This window comes from Homo sapiens, chromosome 19 (genome assembly GCF_000001405.40).
Source record: "Homo sapiens chromosome 19, GRCh38.p14 Primary Assembly".
Lineage (NCBI taxonomy): Eukaryota > Metazoa > Chordata > Mammalia > Primates > Hominidae > Homo > Homo sapiens.
Genome location: NC_000019.10, coordinates 38,684,535 through 38,701,439, shown reverse-complemented (window position 1 = coordinate 38,701,439; position 16,905 = coordinate 38,684,535). Strand labels below are relative to the sequence as shown.

The 16,905-nt window shown below is 52.2% G+C and overlaps 1 protein-coding gene across 7 annotated transcripts in view, besides 5 other annotated features; it reads right to left on the bottom strand.

Annotated features, from left to right (window-relative positions):
- ACTN4 (actinin alpha 4) overlaps nucleotides 1–16,905 on the bottom strand; it is an 83,941-nt gene that overhangs the window by 30,150 nt on the left and 36,886 nt on the right. For 6 of the 7 annotated variants that reach the window (NM_004924.6, NM_001411143.1, NM_001322033.2 and 3 more), the window contains exons 2-3: nucleotides 726–840; nucleotides 319–438 (exon numbers count right to left, since the gene is read on the bottom strand). In NM_004924.6, coding sequence (NP_004915.2) covers nucleotides 319–438; nucleotides 726–840 — 235 coding nt within the window. Of the gene's footprint in view, nucleotides 1–318; nucleotides 439–725; nucleotides 841–7,017; nucleotides 7,320–16,905 lie in introns of those variants that run through there. The other variant, NM_001440299.1, reaches the window with a different exon arrangement.
- Nucleotides 7,101–7,160: an enhancer, noted in NCBI's record as "active region_14591". NCBI's record gives its function as "activates an Ori minimal core promoter by ATAC-STARR-seq in GM12878 lymphoblastoid cells {active_cell/tissue: GM12878}" and the evidence as "EXISTENCE:reporter gene assay evidence [ECO:0000049][PMID:35858748]".
- Nucleotides 7,101–7,721: a biological region, named in NCBI's record as "H3K27ac-H3K4me1 hESC enhancer GRCh37_chr19:39184359-39184950".
- Nucleotides 7,130–7,721: an enhancer, noted in NCBI's record as "H3K27ac-H3K4me1 hESC enhancer chr19:39184359-39184950 (GRCh37/hg19 assembly coordinates)". NCBI's record gives its function as "activates a minimal SCP1, AML or CMV promoter by ChIP-STARR-seq in primed H9 embryonic stem cells {active_cell/tissue: H9 hESC(primed)}" and the evidence as "EXISTENCE:reporter gene assay evidence [ECO:0000049][PMID:30033119]".
- Nucleotides 15,405–15,464: an enhancer, noted in NCBI's record as "active region_14590". NCBI's record gives its function as "activates an Ori minimal core promoter by ATAC-STARR-seq in GM12878 lymphoblastoid cells {active_cell/tissue: GM12878}" and the evidence as "EXISTENCE:reporter gene assay evidence [ECO:0000049][PMID:35858748]".
- Nucleotides 16,635–16,774: an enhancer, noted in NCBI's record as "active region_14589". NCBI's record gives its function as "activates an Ori minimal core promoter by ATAC-STARR-seq in GM12878 lymphoblastoid cells {active_cell/tissue: GM12878}" and the evidence as "EXISTENCE:reporter gene assay evidence [ECO:0000049][PMID:35858748]".

Below are 16,905 nucleotides of genomic sequence, written 5' to 3'. Positions count from 1 at the left end.
AGAACCAGTGAGGGCGACCTGAGTCCGAGTCAAAACCATTCCTCCCCCTGCAGAAGCCGTCGCCCCCGTGGTTGGGTGGGTTGCACTTCCTAGATTTGGACTGCGCCCACCGGATTTTTCCAAGGGTTTGGGGGAGCTTGTGGGCCCAGCATCATATCAAGAGCAGTTGTTGTGATCACTGCTGAGTATGTACTGGGGCTCTGAGTGCCCCAAGCGCCCTGCCACCAACAAAACTTCTCTTCAGGATGCAGATGTTGTGCTTCAGAGCCTAAAGGTCAGAAACCGAGCAGGACCCTCGCTGCCCCACCTCCAGCTCACCTTCTGCCCCGATGGAGACCAGCTTGACGCCTTTGCTGGCAATAAAGTCCAGCGCTTTGTTCACATTGTTGATTTTGTGCACTCTCATCTTCCCCCGCTCCGGCTTAGGTAACCGCTCCCCTGAGAAGTGCACAAAGAGAAAAGAGGGGGCGAGACAGAGAGAGAGAAAGGGAGAGAGGGCGAGAGGGAGAGAGGCTTTAGAGTCTCCTCTGTTCTCCAAAAGCAGGTTCCTCTGCTGGCCCACCAGGCCACTCTGGCCCCACCCATCAGACCACCGTGCAGCTATTAAGGGGTGCCCTCTCCTCCCCAGGAGCAATGGGACAGCTGGGTGGGCAGGGTCTCTGGGGACCGCTGTGGCAGAGCACCTGTGCCAGGGCTCGGCCGCACTGCGTGGCTGGGAGTCTCACCTGATATGACCTCCAGGAGCAGCATGAGCTTGAGCCCGTCTCGGAAGTCCTCATCAATGTTCTCGATCTGTGTGCCTGCCTTCCGCAGGTGGGAGTTGCACCATGCCGTGAAGGTCTGGGGAAGCAGAACAAAGGACAGTGCGCAGAGTCAGCCTGGCTGTCGGGGCTCTCTCCACACACCTGCAGGGCCGCAGCTCTGACCTCAGGAGAACCGCAGCTGCCACGGAGCACTCGCCGACACACACCGTACATGGCCGATACACACATTGTTTCTGATCCTTACAGTGACCCCGGGAGGCAGATGTGAGGAAACTGAGGCTCGGGGTGGTTAATGACCCATCACAAGACCATCCAGGCGGTAAGTGGCAGAGCTTGGATTTGAACCCAGGTCTGTCAATTTTGGCAACATGTGCTTTTTCCACACCCCCAAGCTGCCTCAAGGGAGACCAGTACGCACACCAGACAAAAGCGCCTCAGCCCGCCGCCGGCTCACTCAGTCACACAAACATGACTGAGCACCAGGCTCGGTGGTGTGGAATGAACAGGTCGGGCTCCTGCCCTCATGGGGCTTGTTTTCTTGATGAAGGCCAGCCCTTCATCTGCCAGCTAGACCCAAAGGCCCCAGCTGGACCCTGGCTTCCGTGACCCGTGGCTGCTCTCCTCAGGCAGGAGCTCAGGCTGCTACGTTCCAATCACGTGCACAGATACAACCCAGAACAGGAAAGTGGCAGGAAAAGAAAAGCTCCCATAAATGCAGGATTTCCTCGAGTCTCTCTTTGAGCTTTGGGCAGCCCAAGAGCAAGCCCTCCCAGGAAAGGCCAGGAACACAGACCCTCTGAGCCCTGCACACACGCCTGTGTCGCCTGGCTTCCTGCAAGCAAGATGCCCCCGTCCCTCTGTCTCCTGGAGAACATGCCATGCCCTATCCTTCCTATTCTTTTTTTTCCTTTTTTTTTTTTTGAGAAGGAGTCTCGCTCTGTCACCCAGGCTGGAGTGCTGTGGCGCAATCTCAGCTCACTGCAATCTCTACCTCCTGGGTTCAAGCGATTCTCATGCCTCAGCCTCCTGAGTAGCTGGGACTACGGGTGTATGCCAACATGCCCATCTAATTTTTGTCTTTTTAGTAGAGATGGGGTTTTACCATGTTGGCCAGGCTGGTCTTGAACTCCTGGCCTCAAGTGATCTACCCGCCTCGGTCTCCCAAACTGCTGGGATTACAGGCGTGAGCCACCACACCCAGCCCTATCCTTCCTATTTTTAAGACTCAGTGCAGCTTAGAGGAGGCTGGAAGGCAAGTGGGAGGCAGGCCCCCTCACCGGGGTCAGGCAGCCGCATCTAAGGAGAATGTTTCTGATGATCAACTGGAAGGGATGGAGGGTACTAAACAAGAAGCCGAAGTCCCTGACCCTAACAGACCAACGATGCTGACAGGGCATGGGTACACCCAAGCACAGGGCACGCAGCCTCCTGGTGGTGCCCGGCTACTCAGCCCCCTGCAAGCTGGGGCATGCTCATAGACATCAGGGCCACAGAAGATCTCAGATCAGTTAACACCAACACGCCCAGGCGCCTTCAGGGAAACCAGCCCACGCACCCTCCTGCAACAGGACCTGGGAAAAACCCCAAGTGTCTGCTTCTTATAGGAACCCCTGTACCCCACCCCCTCCATCTGCAGGGGCCAGTGTAGAAGCAAGCAGACAGCCAGGGACACACAAGAGCACATTCCACGCCCCGGGTGCAGGCGGAGGCCATGCGGAGGACAAGGGGCTTCTACGGGGGCTCTGACCAAGCACCATGTGTTTTGACAACTGTCGCCAGCCCTGCTCATTCAGGGAGACTCGACACAAAGCCCCCTCCCAGACAAAGCAGCTGCCTAATTAATACGCCATACCAGTGTGGACCCAGCATGGGGCTTCCTTCCAAATCCGAAAGGGGGCAAGAGTGGACAGCTAGACCATCCCCCACCACCACCTCTCACCATGGAGAATTCCTCTACCTGGGAGACAGAGACCCCTCCTGGTGGCACAACGCTGTTCCCCCACTAAAGATACCTCCGCCCCGCCATGTAGCCAACCCTGGGCACCCCTCAAAAGTCAGGCCAAATGCCGTGCCTGGAGGGTACCCGCACCATGGCCTCCCTGACCCGGTTCTGCCTCAGACAGCCTCCTCCCTGCAGACCACATCACGCCCTTGCTCTCTGGTCTCTAACAGTTCTTGTCTCCAACAGTTCTTGTCTCCCTCCCTCCCACGGCTATGAACTCCTTGAGGGGAGGGGAGCCAAGGCAGGTTCTCACTGCGGAGAGTACTAACTCACCTTCCCAGCCTCCCCCATACAATACTGAATTCAGAGAGCCCAGGGCGGGAACCATGCTTACACCACTCATGTGGGCACGTCACCTAACCTTCCTAACTTCCATTTCCTCCTCTGCAACGTGGGGATGAAGACCCCACCTAGGCCACGGGCAGTGTGAGGACTCAAGATGGCCATGCCTGCAGCGTGCATGGCAATGCTCAGGAAGTGGCAGCTCTCTGGATGGCCCTGTGCCTCCCAGCATCTCCTCCCTCCCTGCCCTGGTCTCAGGAGTCCTGCCCACCCCCTCCACAGTGTGCCTGCTCTGTCCCCGGCCCACCCTCAGCACCTCTCCCGTAGCAACCCCCAGTCACTTTTAGTCTTATTGGATGTTGCATGCACATGAGCTTTCTCTCCTACCATGTGCGAGCTCCAGGGGTTGGGAAGTACGGCGCCTGCACCTTTACAGCCCCAGAGCACTGCCAGCCTTGATGGCAGGCAGCAAGCAGGCGTGGAGCCCAGGAGCCCAGCAGCCCTGCAGAGCAAAGGGCAGCAGCAAATGGGCTGGGAAGGAAGTGGCCACGGATGCTAGGCCTCTACTCTCACATGTGCCTGAGAGCAGGCACTGCTGGGCAGCAAAGTAGCCAAGACACATCCCACAGCCTGAGGACAAAAGAGGGCTGTTCCCCGAGGGCAAGGCCCCGTGCTCTGGTGTTGCCAGGCCCAGACCTAGGCACCTGGGCTGCAGGGAGGGCCACGCACGCGTGCAAACAGCACCCCTCACAGCCTTGGCCTGTGTGGGCTGCTCCTGCAGGCTCTGCAGGGGCACAGACCTGGGTTTGGGTTTGAATACCTGCCCCTTGGCTTACTCATTCCATGTTTTCAACCAAGTGACTTTACCTACTTAAGTCTGTTTCCTTCCCTGTAAGATGGATTTATCAGAATCTACCTCCTGCAGTGTGCTCTAAGAATTAAACTAGGGAAAATACATTTAAAGCATGTGACAGGCTCCTTGGCATAAAGTAAGAGCCAGATGAATCACACGCATGTGTGTGCATGTACACACGCACATAAGCACGTGCTGAGATCCAGTCTCTTCTCTGCAAAGGCTCTCAGACCACCCACTGGTATGCAGGGAAAATGGGATGGCAGGAGACCCTCTGCGGATGGCCCCACCCCACCCTGTGGAGGCTGTGAACAAACCTCGCCGCTTGGGTTCTGGCCACCTGTCCTCAGAGGGGCTGCTGCCCTACCCGCCCTCCATACGTACATCCCACCTGTGCTCATCTTCTCTGGGTAGTAAACAAGAGCTCTGGCTTGGGCATCACACAGGTGCGGATTCACATCTTGCTTCTGCCACTGAGGCCTCAGGCAAGCAATAAGCCTCAGTTTCCTCACTGATAAACAGGACAGTAACCGAGAGGTTAAGATAGGGATTAAACACAAGGACACATGTCAATCACTCCGTGCTGTGTTAAATGCATGTCAAAGGAAGGTTTGCTCTGAAAGCAATGGTAACTCTTCCGTGTACTCTGTCTTCCTGACTGACACAGGCAAAGCCCCAAGCACAGGTGCTCAGGGAGGATGCCCACTCGCCTGGCCTGGATGACGCAGAAGGGAACTCCCACCCAGATCCGGACCTGACACAGGCTTGGGGAACCCCACTGATGCACTCCTGTTCTCACCCCATGTCTTGCTTTGCCCTGTTTTGTCCTCCTGGAAGATGAGGGGCATCTATTGACATCAGAGGTTCACAAAGCCCTCAGCTCTGGTGAGGAGAGCCTGCACTCACAAGGCCACCCTTGGGAACAGGTCGACCATGACGGCCACTTCTCCATGCGGAGAGACTGGTGAGTAGGAGCTGGAGTTCGAATGGGACATTAAAAATTCATCGCTTCTTCTACTTGGTTACAAAAATAACACTCTGCTTCCATCCTTCCTCTCCCTACCCGGTTTAGACTACGCTGCGTGGGGTGGATGGTGTGGAGAGGTGGTTTCTATAGATGGGGGCCCTATGCGCCCACCACGCCGCCCTCCACCATGCAAAATTCTCAGAATGTGGGCAGCCGACCTCATGATGCCCCAGGCCACCATGGGTCCGTACATATTCATTCTCTGGACAAGCATATGCTGGGGGTCAGCAGAGGGCCAGGCCCTGTGCTGAATCCATAACAGTGAGCAAAAGCAGACACTCTCATGAGGCTCCAGGTCTGATCTCATTAATCAAGCGATCAGTCCACTCCAGAAATAACGCCCTTAGGAAAAGTGGTAATAATAACAGCAATAACTGCAGCAGACACTTCCATAGAGTCTACTAGGGGCGGGCACTGCTCGAGGCACTTGGTCACTTACTAATTCTGTCACCCTCGTAATCATCTCTGGAGGGAGGTGCTAGTACTGCCTCCATTTTGCAGATGAGGAAACGGAGGGCCTGAGAGGTGAAGTGGCTTGCTCCCATCAGTCACACACCTAGAAAGTTACAGAGCTGGGTTTAAAGCCAGGTGCTGGGCTCCTGGGGCCGAGTTTGTGTCACCTCCCCTGGGATGGGAGCTGAAGAGTGCGGTCAGCATGGTGGCGGGGTGGGGGGGCACCAAGCGACTGGTGAGGCAGACACAGAAAGGTGTCCTTGAAGAAGTCATTCTCAAACTCTGAGCTGAAGGATGAGGAGTTAATAAGATAAAAATGAGGGAGACCTTCCAGATACTGGGAAGAGCATGTGCCAAAGCCCTCCTGCAGAAGGGACAGAGCCCACTCCGAGAAGGAAGGGAGTAAAGAAGTGAGGCTGGCATGCTGGCCTCACAAAGCCATTAAACGGTCATGCTGTCCCTGCCATGCAGGGAAAGAGCCGAAGGGGACAAGGGTCAATGTGTGATGGCCAGGAATAAAGCAGGGTGAAGAGCCCCTGAGAGAAACTTCCTCCCCCTGGCAGGAAGAGGAAGGCAGAGGTGCCCTGCCGGCACGCCAAAGAAGAAATGCAAACTCAAGGTTTCTATTTCATTTGGGAGGAACCAGAGCTGCCAGCCCTCTGTGGGAGGAGGGAAAGGCAAAAAGCATCGAGCTCTCCTGGGCTTCATGATCGCGGTCATCTTCCAGGGGCAGCAGCGACTCTGACTGTCCAGAACGTGGCAGTGGCCATGCCCTCAGGACCGCAACTAAGAGGCATGCACCTGCCTCACAAATACTGACTTGGAGCCCTATTATGTACTGGACACAGGAGGAAGCAAAACAGTTATCATTTACATTCTGGCCAGCCAGGCATGGTGGCACACACCATGTAATCCCAGCACTTTAGGAGGCCGAGGCGGGAGGATTGCTTTAGCACAGGAGTTTGAGATCAGCCTAGGCAACATGGCAAAACCCCATCTCTACAAAAACTACAAAAATTAGCCAGGCGTGGTACTGAGCGCCTGTAGTCCCAGCTACTCGAGAGGCTGAGGTGGGAAGACAGCTTGTGCCTGAGAGGCAGAGGTTGCAGTAAGCTGAGATTGTGTTAGTGCACTCCAGCCTCGGTGACAGAGCCAGACCCTGTCTCAACCCGCCCCCCCGCAAAATTACATTCAGCACGGGGGTGCGGGGGGCATGACATATTAAAGGTAATTATGCTATAACGGCTAATTGCTAGTTCTTACTATTTACACATTAGCAACTCTTTAAAACCTCCAACCCCATGATCACATGCGATATATCTCCATTTGATGAGGAAACTGAGGCAGGGAGAGGTTCAGTGACTTGCTTAATGTCACACAGACACAGATGATACATACAAACACGGGGTGGGCATTCATTCCACGATGTCTGAGTAGAATGGGAGGTGCTGGCCAGTGAGGGAGAGACAGCAGAGTCAGGTCAAGAAGCCCCCAGCCAGGGCCGGGCGCAGTGGCTCGCACCTGTAATCCCAGCACTTTGGGAGGCCGAGGCGGGCGGATCACTTGAGGTCAGGAGTTCAAGACCAGCCTGGCCAACATGGTGAAACCTCGTCTCTACTAAAAATACAAAAATTACCTGGGCGTGGTGGCGGGCTCCTATAAACCCAGCTACTCGGGAAGCTGAGACAGGAGAATCGCTTGAACCTGGGAGGTAGAGGTTGCAGTGAGCCAAGATCGCGCCACTGCACTCCAGCCTGGGAGACAGAGTAAGACTCGGTTTCAAAAAAAAAAAAAGAAGGCCCCAGCCCACCCTTGGTCCCCAAGCTAGAGGTAAACTCAGAGAACAAGGCAGGCAGGCAGAGCAACGCCCCAGCAGATCACCCGCTTCGCAAAAGGTGGCCCCGCTCCTCCCAGCCTGTCCCTGGCCCTCCTGTGAAGGCAGCCTGCACCCAGCCCTTGACCTATCTAGGGAGGAAGGAAGGATGTGGACTCATCTGTCTTTGAGAACACATGTGAACCAAACCACAGAGAGGAGGCTTCAGAGCTTGCCCCTGCACACGGGCAGCCTATTAAAGAGGCTTCTCTGGTTGCTAAAATAGCACAGGGTGTGAGTGCGGGGAAGGGGGGTGGAAGAACAGAGAAAGGCAAGCTTGTCAGTTGAGTTGGGATCCACTGTCACCCCTCCGTGTGCCAAGGCCCATGGTGACCCAGCTAAGGCGGGCTTCAGGGGGCCCCAAGAGCAGTTTCTGCTTTGTCACTGTGGGCTGCAGGAGGGAGACGGAGACCTAGCATCTCTGGTCATAAAGTCCTTCCTGCGTCACAGGGACCCCTCCCAGCCGCCAGGATGTGGGGCGGTAGGTGAATGAATGATGGATATTGTTCAGGAGGTGACCTAAGCACCCAGGAATGTGGCAGCAGTGGGCTTTAATGAGCCATTCATCAATGATTCCCTCCCTCAACCCGAAGAGGCAAAGCCCTCTCTACTCTGGGGCGCTGATTAAGAAACAAACATTCGGCAGACACAGGGCAACCGAGTGGTTCCAGTGGGCAGAGCGATGGTGAGCTGGAGGGAAGAAAGGGCCTTGGTGGGATGCGGCTGACCCAGCTGAACAAACTCGCCTTCTCTTTTCTTCCTGCCTTCCTGTTACAAAACATGTTCTCAGAACTGAAGGGGGTGGAGGGAAATGGCTGTTGGAAGCTGGAATTCCACTAAGCCCAGAATAAAGGGAGTCTCTTGCAAAGTCGCTTTGGGCCTAGAAATAGGCTCGAGCGATCCCTCAGGAGGGGTGAGCATGCCGGCTCTGCACTGTGTAGCACATGATCCAGACTGGATCGCAGGCTTCACTCTCCCCACCCACCAGGCTGATGCTCACATGTGGATTCCACGGACCCCACGCTTGACAAGATTTTAGAAAAAAACGTTTGCTGCCTCATGCCGCAACCCTCTTCTGCCGTGTACACTGCCCACCCGCCTAGCAGGATATCACCCAGGAGGACCAGCCTGCATGCATTTTGCCCAGGCTCAGGGTTGACTGCAACTGGCCACAGCCAGCCCCAACCCCAGGTACCCGGAGGCCAGACGGAGCTCCCTAGCACCCTGGGAGTTTTCAAACCTTGGCTCTGAAATACCGTGTAGGGTTTGTCGCTCCGCTGGGGCATCAGTTGCTTTGAGGGGGAGGGCGCCGTCCCACCTCCTGAACTTCCACCTTGCCTGCTGTGGCCTCTGACGCTGCCCATGGTTCCTGCTTCCATGGGTCCTAGGGAAGGGTGTCCAGGGCTTGGACACAGGGGAGGTACAGCTATTTATTCCTGGGTAGGCTTATCACCTGGGTAGGCCTTCTTATCACCCATCTGGCAGGCTATTGCCAGACCTCAGGCAAGGCCTAGCCCCACTGGGGCATCTTTTCAGTTCCTGAAAGCAGAAACGGCTCCCCAGCCCATGGGCTTCATCACCAACTATAAAGGCGCTTTCAGGGCCAGACGGCTAAGCCTTCTGGAATCTGGGTTACCAGCGGCACAGGCAGAGATGCTCGCCCTGGCAAGGGGGCCCGTGGAGCCTCTGGCCTGTGAGACTGCACACCTGAGCACTTTTTGAAGATCCACTGCCACCAGATTCTGAAGGAGATAAAAGCCAGGAAGCAGGTTGAAAGAACAGAAAACGAGCAGGTCACAATAACACAGCCACAAATTAGATGGGTGCAGCAACGTGGGACGCAGACAGCCCTACTGCCCAGGCAATCAGGGCTAGCACTGCGGCAGTTCAGCGACACACGGGGCAGCCTGTCCAGGACCCAACCCCAGCCAGGGGCAAAGCAAGTGCACTGTGTGTGCCTGTTACATGACGACATAACCTAATTTGAAAGCAATTACAGTGAAATATGGAATGCGTCTTATGTCCTGGCCTGAAGTTGCCTTATTCGGAGTTTTCTCAGCCTGCATGAAAAAGCTCTGACTTCGCAGTTGGAGAAGAGGTATAAATACTGCTGAGTGGGGTAGCGAGCATTCCAAAGGTCCTGCGTGTCCACCCAGAAACCAGCTCTTTGCACCCGGCCCCCTCCCTGCAGCCAGTGTTCCAGTCTTGGACAATCCCCTTTGAGGTGCCAGAAAGCGTGCGTGTTGCTGCTGCAAAGGACGGATTTTGTTTGTTTGTTTGTTTTGAGACAGAGTCTCGCTGTGTCGCCAGGTTGGAGTGCGGTGGCATGATCTCGGCTCACTGCAGCCTCCACCTCCCGGGTTCAAGTGATTCTCCTGCCTCAGCCTCCCGAGTAGCTGGCATTACAGGCACCCACCATCACACCCGGCTAATTTTTATATTTTCAGTAGAGACGGGTTTCTGCCATGTTGGCCAGGCTGGTCTCGAACTCCTGATCTCAGGTAATCCACCCGCCTCAGCCTCCCAAAGTGCTGGGATTACAGGCGTGAGCCACCGCGCCAGGCCAAAGGATGGATTTTGGAGTGCTGTCTCCTCCTCATGAGAAATACTGGTCTAAGACTTTCGTCTAGCTCTTTATAGAGCTGGTTTTGTCTCATCACTCAGGACTTGCCTCAAATGTCAGCAACCCAGGAGGCCTTCCTGGACTCTGTCATCTCCCCTAGGCTATCACTCCACTCTGCGTTGTTGGGTTTTTTTTTTTGTTTTTTTTGTTTTTTTTTTTTTGAGACGGAGTTTCACTTTTGTTGCCCAGGCTGGAGTGCAATGGCATGATCTCAGCTCAACGCAACTTCTGCCTCCTGAGTTCAAGCTATTCTCTGGCCTCAGCCTCCCGAGTAGCTGGGATTACAGGCCTGGCTAATTTTTTATTTTTAGTAGAGACGGAGTTTCTCCATGTTGGTCAGGCTAGTCTCGAACTCCCAACCTCAGGTGATCCGCCCACCTCGGCCTCCCAAAGTGCTGGAATTACAGGCGTGAGCCAACACACCCGGCCTCACACTGCATTGTTTTACTCACTGCACTTTTCATCATCAAAAACTATGTTCTTTGTTCATAACCAGTCTCCCTCCCAAGTGCAGCATAAGCTCCCCAGAGGAGGGTTCTGTTTGCTGTGGGAACCCACTGCCTGGACTGGTACCTTTCACATAGCAGGTACTCAACAAATCTAGGAGTGAGTGGAATCAGGTTGCGGCATCTCGCATCCAGCTTTTCTTTCTCTCCCTCTCTTTCATGTACTCTTTAAATATGTACATAATTTGGAGAATCAATTTTTAAAAATTGAAATGTAATTCACATAACATACCAAAAAATTCACCCTTTTACATAAAATTCAGGGAGTTTTAGTATATTCACAAGATCGTGCAACAATCACCACTAATTCCAGAACAAGGCTAGGCAAGGTGGCTCACGCCTGTAATCCCAGCACTTTGGGAGGCCAAGGCGGGCAGATCACGAGGTCAGGAGTTCAAGACCAGCCTGGCTGTTACCGGTGGGTCTTTGTTCTTAGAGCTCCCAAGTTGGTAGTGGCTGCTCCCAAGATGGCAGCAAGCCTTTTGTTCTCTGACCTAACATTCTTGGCCTCACGGATTCCAAGGAATTGAACCTTGGGCCATGCAGTGAGTGTTATAGCTCTATTAGAAGCCGTGGGTCATGGAAGAGAACCATGGAACCCAGCGACTAGTGTTTAGCTCGATTAGGACAAACTCGAGCACTGAGCCGCACAGGAACAATGGCGAGCCTCTAGCCCGAATGAGCAGCAATGGGCGCCTCGCTGGATCAGAAATGCAGCAGACACCCTGCTGGATCCGGAGGGGTGGAAGTCAACAGTGGGTCTGTGATGGCGGTGAACAGCAGTGAAGGATGGTGAGCGAAAGCTCAGCTCAAGCCAAAACAAACGTGGACCAGAAGAGTGTGCAGTTGCAAGATTTAATAGAGTGAAAACAGAGCTTCCATACAGTGGGAGGGGAACCAAAGGGGGTGGCCCACTCCCGCCTCAAATGCCTGGGGTTTATATCCCAATCATTGTCCCTCCTCCTGTGCTCTCAGATGATAGATGATTTGACTATTTCTTTACCTCCTGCTTTTAACCTAATTGGTATTTTAATGAGCCCTCTTTACTGCCTGATTGGTCAGGTGTGAGCTGAGTTACAAGCCCGGTGTTTAAAGGTGGGTGCGATCACCTTCCCCAGCTAGGCTTAGCAATTCTTAGTCGGCCTAGGAAATCCAGCTAGTCCTGTCTCTCATGGCCAACATGGTGAAACCTCGTCTCTAACTAATAATACAAAAAGTAGCCGGGCATGGTGGCGCACGCCTGTAGTTCCAGCTACTCAGGAGACTGAGGCAGGAGAATCGCTTGAACCCGGGAGGCAAAGGTTGCAATGAGCCAAGATCGCGCCACTGCACTCCAGCCTGGGCAACAGAGCGAGACTCCATCTCAAAGAAAAAGAAAAAAAAAATTAAAAATTAACTGGGTATGGTGACTCTTGCCTGTAGTCCCAGCTACTCAGAAGGCTGAGGTGGGAGGAACACTTAAGCCTGGGAATTCGAGGCTACAGTGAGCTATGACAGCGCCACTGCACTCTAGCCTGGGCGACAGTGAGACCTTATCTCAAAACAACAAAACAAAACAAAAAACCAAAAATACAAGGAACATGTCTACCACCGCAAAACTGGTACAGTTACTCTCCAACCCCACTTCCCTCCTACCCAGCCCCCAGCCCCTGGCAACCACTAACCTACCTTTCTTTCGTCTCTTGCAATTTACCTATTCTGGGCATTTCATATAAGTGGAACCATATGGTATATGATCTTTGAGTTTGGCTTCTCCTTAGCATGTTTTCAAGGTTCAGCCATGTTGTAGCATGTACCAGTACTTCGTTCCTGTCTGAATAACATTCCATTGTATGGATATACCACATTTTATTTATCAATTCATTGGCTGATGGGCATTATTTGTGTTGCTTCTATCTTTTGGATATTAGCACCACCGTGAATATTCATGTACAAGTTTTATGTGGACATGTTTTCAACTGCCTTGGGCATATACCTAGGAGTAAAATTGCTGAGTCATATGATACCTCTTATATTTAAAAATTTGAGGAACTTGGCTGGGCGTGGTGGCTCATGCCTGTAATTCCAACACTTTGGGAGGCTGAGACAAGACCAGCCTGGGTGACATGGTGAAACCCCGTCTCTACTAAAAATACAAAACATGTTTAAATTTTGAGGAACTGCCAGACTGTTTTCCCAAGAAGCTGCACCACATTACACTTTGACCAGCAATGTGAGGGTTCTGATTTCTCCCATCCTAGTCAATACTTATTATCTGACTTTCTGATTATAGCCATCATGGTGGGTGTGCAGTGGTATCTCATTGTGGTTTTCTGTTTTTTTTTGTTTTAGGGTTGGGGTCTTACTCTGTTGCCCAGGCTGGAGTACAGTGGTGTCATCATAGCTCACTGCAGCCTTGAACTCCTGGGCTCAAGCAATCTGCCCACCTCAGCCTCCCAGGAATATGCTACTACACCTGGCCAATTTCTCATTTTTATTATTATTTAGAGACAGGGTCTCACCCTGTTGCCCAGGCTGGAGTGCAATGGCGTGATCTCGGCTCAATGCAACCTCTCCCACCCAGGTTCAAGCGATTCTCCCACCTCAGCCTCCCCACTAGCTGGGACAACAGGCGCCCACCACCATGTCCAGCTAATTTTTGTGGGTTTTTTTTTTTTTTTTTTTTTGGTAGAGACAAGGTTTCATTCACCATGTTTGCCAGGCTGGTCTCAAACTCCTGACCTCAGGTGATCCACTCGCCTCGGCCTCCCAAAGTGCTAGGATTACAGGCATGAGCCACCATACCCGGCCTAATTTTTTATTTTAATTCTCTGTAGAGGCAGGGTCTCACTATGATGCCCAGGCTGGTCTCCAATTCGTGGCCCCAAGCCATCCTCCCACTTCTACCTCCAAAAATGTTGGAATTATGGACATGAGCCACCAGGCCCAACCACGTTATGGTTTTGATTTGCCCTAATTAGTAATGACATTGAACACCTTTTCATGTGCTTATTGACCATTTGTAGTGGTTATGGTTTTGATTTGCCCTAATTAGTAATGACATCGAACACCTTTTCATGTGCTTATTGACCATTTGTAGATCTTCTTTGGAGAAGTGTCTATTTGAATCCTTTGCCCATTTTTAACTGGTGTGTCTTTTTACTGTTGAATTTAAGAGTCCTTTATACATTTTGGACAGTAGACCCTTATCAGATATACAATTTGTAAATATTCTGCGGGTTGTCCTTTTACTTTAATAGTGTCCTTTGAAGCAAAAAGTTTCCAGTTTTGAAACAGTCTGATTTATCTATTTTTCTTCGGTTGTGTTTCTGCTGTCATATCTAATAACCATTGCCTAACCCAAGGTCATGAGATTTACACTTGTGTTTTCTTCTAAGAGTTTTACAGTTTTAGCTCTTACATTTAGGTATCTGATCCGTTTGGAGTTAATTTTTGTATATGGTGTGAGGTAAAGGTTCAACTTCATTCTTTGCAGATGGGTATCTATTAATAGTTGTTCCTGCACTATTTGTTGAAAACACTATTCTTTCCCCCATTGAATGGTCCTGCACCCTTGTTGAAAATCAATTGACAATAGATGTATGGGACCTGGGAGCTTTTTAAAAATACCTGAATTTCACCACAGGCAAAATGAGACAGATTCCCTCAAGGTGGGCCCTGGGCAATGACATTTGACAAAGTCCACCTAGTGAGTCTAACATGAAGTGAGGGCTGAGAGCGAACAATCTAATCCAACCCCCTTGTTCCATAAATGAAAGATCTGAGGTCTCAGTAGAACCAGAGGGGCTGGGTGCAGGGGCTCACGCCTGTAATCCCAGCACTTTGGGGGGGCTGAGGCAGGTGGATCATTTGAGGTCAGGAGTTCAAGACCAGCCGTCTTGAACTATTAGTAGAGACCAGCCGTCTCTACTAATAATACAGAAAAATTAGCCAGACGTGGTGGCACACGCCTGTAATCCCAGATACTCAGGAGGCTGAGGCAAGAGAATCGCTTGAGCCCAGGAGGCGGAGGCTGCAGTGAGCCGAGATTGTGCCACTGTACTCCAGCCTGGGCAACAGAGTGAGACTCTGTCTCAAAAAAAAAAAAAAAAGAGACTCTGCCACCAGATTTGTTAGACTGGAATGGATGCTTGGAGCTAAAAGAAACCCCAGGGTAAAGGGGGATAGGCGGCCCGGGGTAGGAGCTGCTCCCATCTGAGCCTGCCTCTGTTCTCAAACAGACTTCCGGAGCCATCCCACACATGGGAAACCAACCAACCAACCAACCAACCAACCCAAACCACTCAGATTATACGTCAAAGAACTGGGTTCTCCCCAAGGGGAAGAGCCTGCACTCCCCACACAGAGTCCAGGAAGAGATAGGTCTCAACCCAAGGCAGGTGGGGCCCACAGAGCGGGAGGCAGTGCTCAGCCCTCCAGGCAGAGCTTCTCACCAGGAGGAGGAGATGGTGAGGCCTACCTTGAAATAACTACCTTTAACAGAGGAAACTTACACTCCCAAAAGGCAGTTTTAAAATTAGGGCAGCAGCAGAGGCTGGGGCCTCCTCTGGCCCCATCTAGCATTTTGCTATGAAATGATCAGGCACACGGGGCCCTTCACCTGGAGAACAGGGAGGGTGAGCTACAAACACCCCATTTACTTTCAATGCTTACAGCTAAGCTCAGGTTTCAGGGTGGGGGTGGGGGACTACAGATCATCTGGTTTAAACTTTGATCTTTCAAAAAGATAGCCAAGTAAGCCAATTCTGGCCTTGAGACAGTGTGGCCTGGAATCTTAGCGAGTGCCTAAGGGGCCCAGTCTTTAGAATTAACGTTTTAGTCTGGACAAATCCGCCCAGGGATTTGTTCATCCAGACAAGAGGCCTTTGGCATTTGGGGAGAAAAGGTCAGACAGGGCACTGATGGGATTGTTATTTAGGCAAGTGCTACACACCCGTCCTGAGCTAGTGGGACCCCGGGAATTCCCCAGTAGATCTTGCCAGGTGCAGGAACTGCCACAGGAAAGGGGTGTCTGGAAGCAGGGCAAACACTCCTGTTTCTCCCTCTGTTCAATCTCTCCAGCAGATGGCTTGTTTTTTTGCTAGTATTCAAATGATCCGTAAACTGGGCCCTGCTGGTGGAAGGGTGAATATGCGAGGCCCTGGAGTAATCTTTAATCGTGGTAAGGGTTTTGTCTTTGACAACTGAAACTCCTGCTTGGTGATCCTTTTCCTTTTTCCTGTTTTGAGAGGCTCTGATTCAACAGTCCACCCGGCCAAGTCAGGGCCATCCTATTCCAGTGAAAGCAGAGAGGGGTGTCTCAGGGTGGGCATCCCAGCTAGGGTGGAGCTGGCTTGGTCTGGAAATCTGTGATCTTGACCATGTACAGCCCCCACAGACTTGGGCTTGTTTCATGCATACTCGGTCCCTGCGGGCTTCCTACTCTCTGAACCCAGGGTACGAAGATCCCTTTCAGAAGCAGAGTGAGTTTGGAGCACTGAGAGGATTAGGGGCCTTTATCCGCATAATTGAGTCCCCTCGATCCAGAGGTTGGGTGCTCACCAGCCTGCCTGCCCTTTGCTGAGGCCACAGGGCTCCTCTCCAGGCCTGCACCTCACAGAGGCTCCGTGAGCACTGGATGAGGGGGTGAATGAATCCCTGAGTCCATCTGGGAGGTGACTCCAACCAGAAATTTCAGGCTTGGAGTTTGAAGTTTGCCAGCAGGCAACTAATTCGTGGTGTTAAGAGTTACCTAAACTTGCCCTTAGCCTCCTGTGAGTGGGTGTTGGCTCCCAAGCACTAGGATGGTGTAGGGTACACAATTTGGGTGGGTTGGCCAAGCACGGTGGCTCACACCTGTAATCCTAGCACTTTGGGAGGCCAAGGTGGGTGGATCACGAGGTCAGGAGTTCGAGACCATCCCGGTCAACATGGTGAAACCCTATCTCTACTAAAAATACAAAAATTAGCTGGGCTTGGTGGCATGTGCCTGTAATCACAGCTACTTGGGAGTCTGAGGCAGGAGAATCGCTTGAACCCAGGAGGCAGAGGTTGCAGTGAGCTGAGATCACGCCACTGCCTTCCACCCTGGCTAAAGAGCGAGATTCCGTCTCAAACAAACAAACAAACAAACAAAAAGCCATTTGGGTGGGTTAAGAAATCACTCTGGATTTGGGGGTCTCTTTTTTTTTCCCTTGACAATATTCAGTCCATCTCAGATTCCTTGGATGCATGAGACAGACAACATTAGCAGTGTCTTGGGAGGATTTAAAAAAAGAAAAACCTGACCATGACCACAGAGAGAGAAAGAAGAGAAAAGAAAAGAAGAGATCAAAATAGGATTCTATAGCCAAAGAGTAATTATAGGATCGGGAGGAACCAGTAGAGACTGAAACCTCTGACTCATAATTGCTCCATTAAAAATGGTGAAACATCTGCCCTGGCCGAGGAACAGGGCTACACTCTCACCCTGGCTCGCCCCACCTACAAGCCTTCCTGGGGCTGGCATGAAGGGGTGGCTGTCTCCAGGAGCGGTGTGGGTAT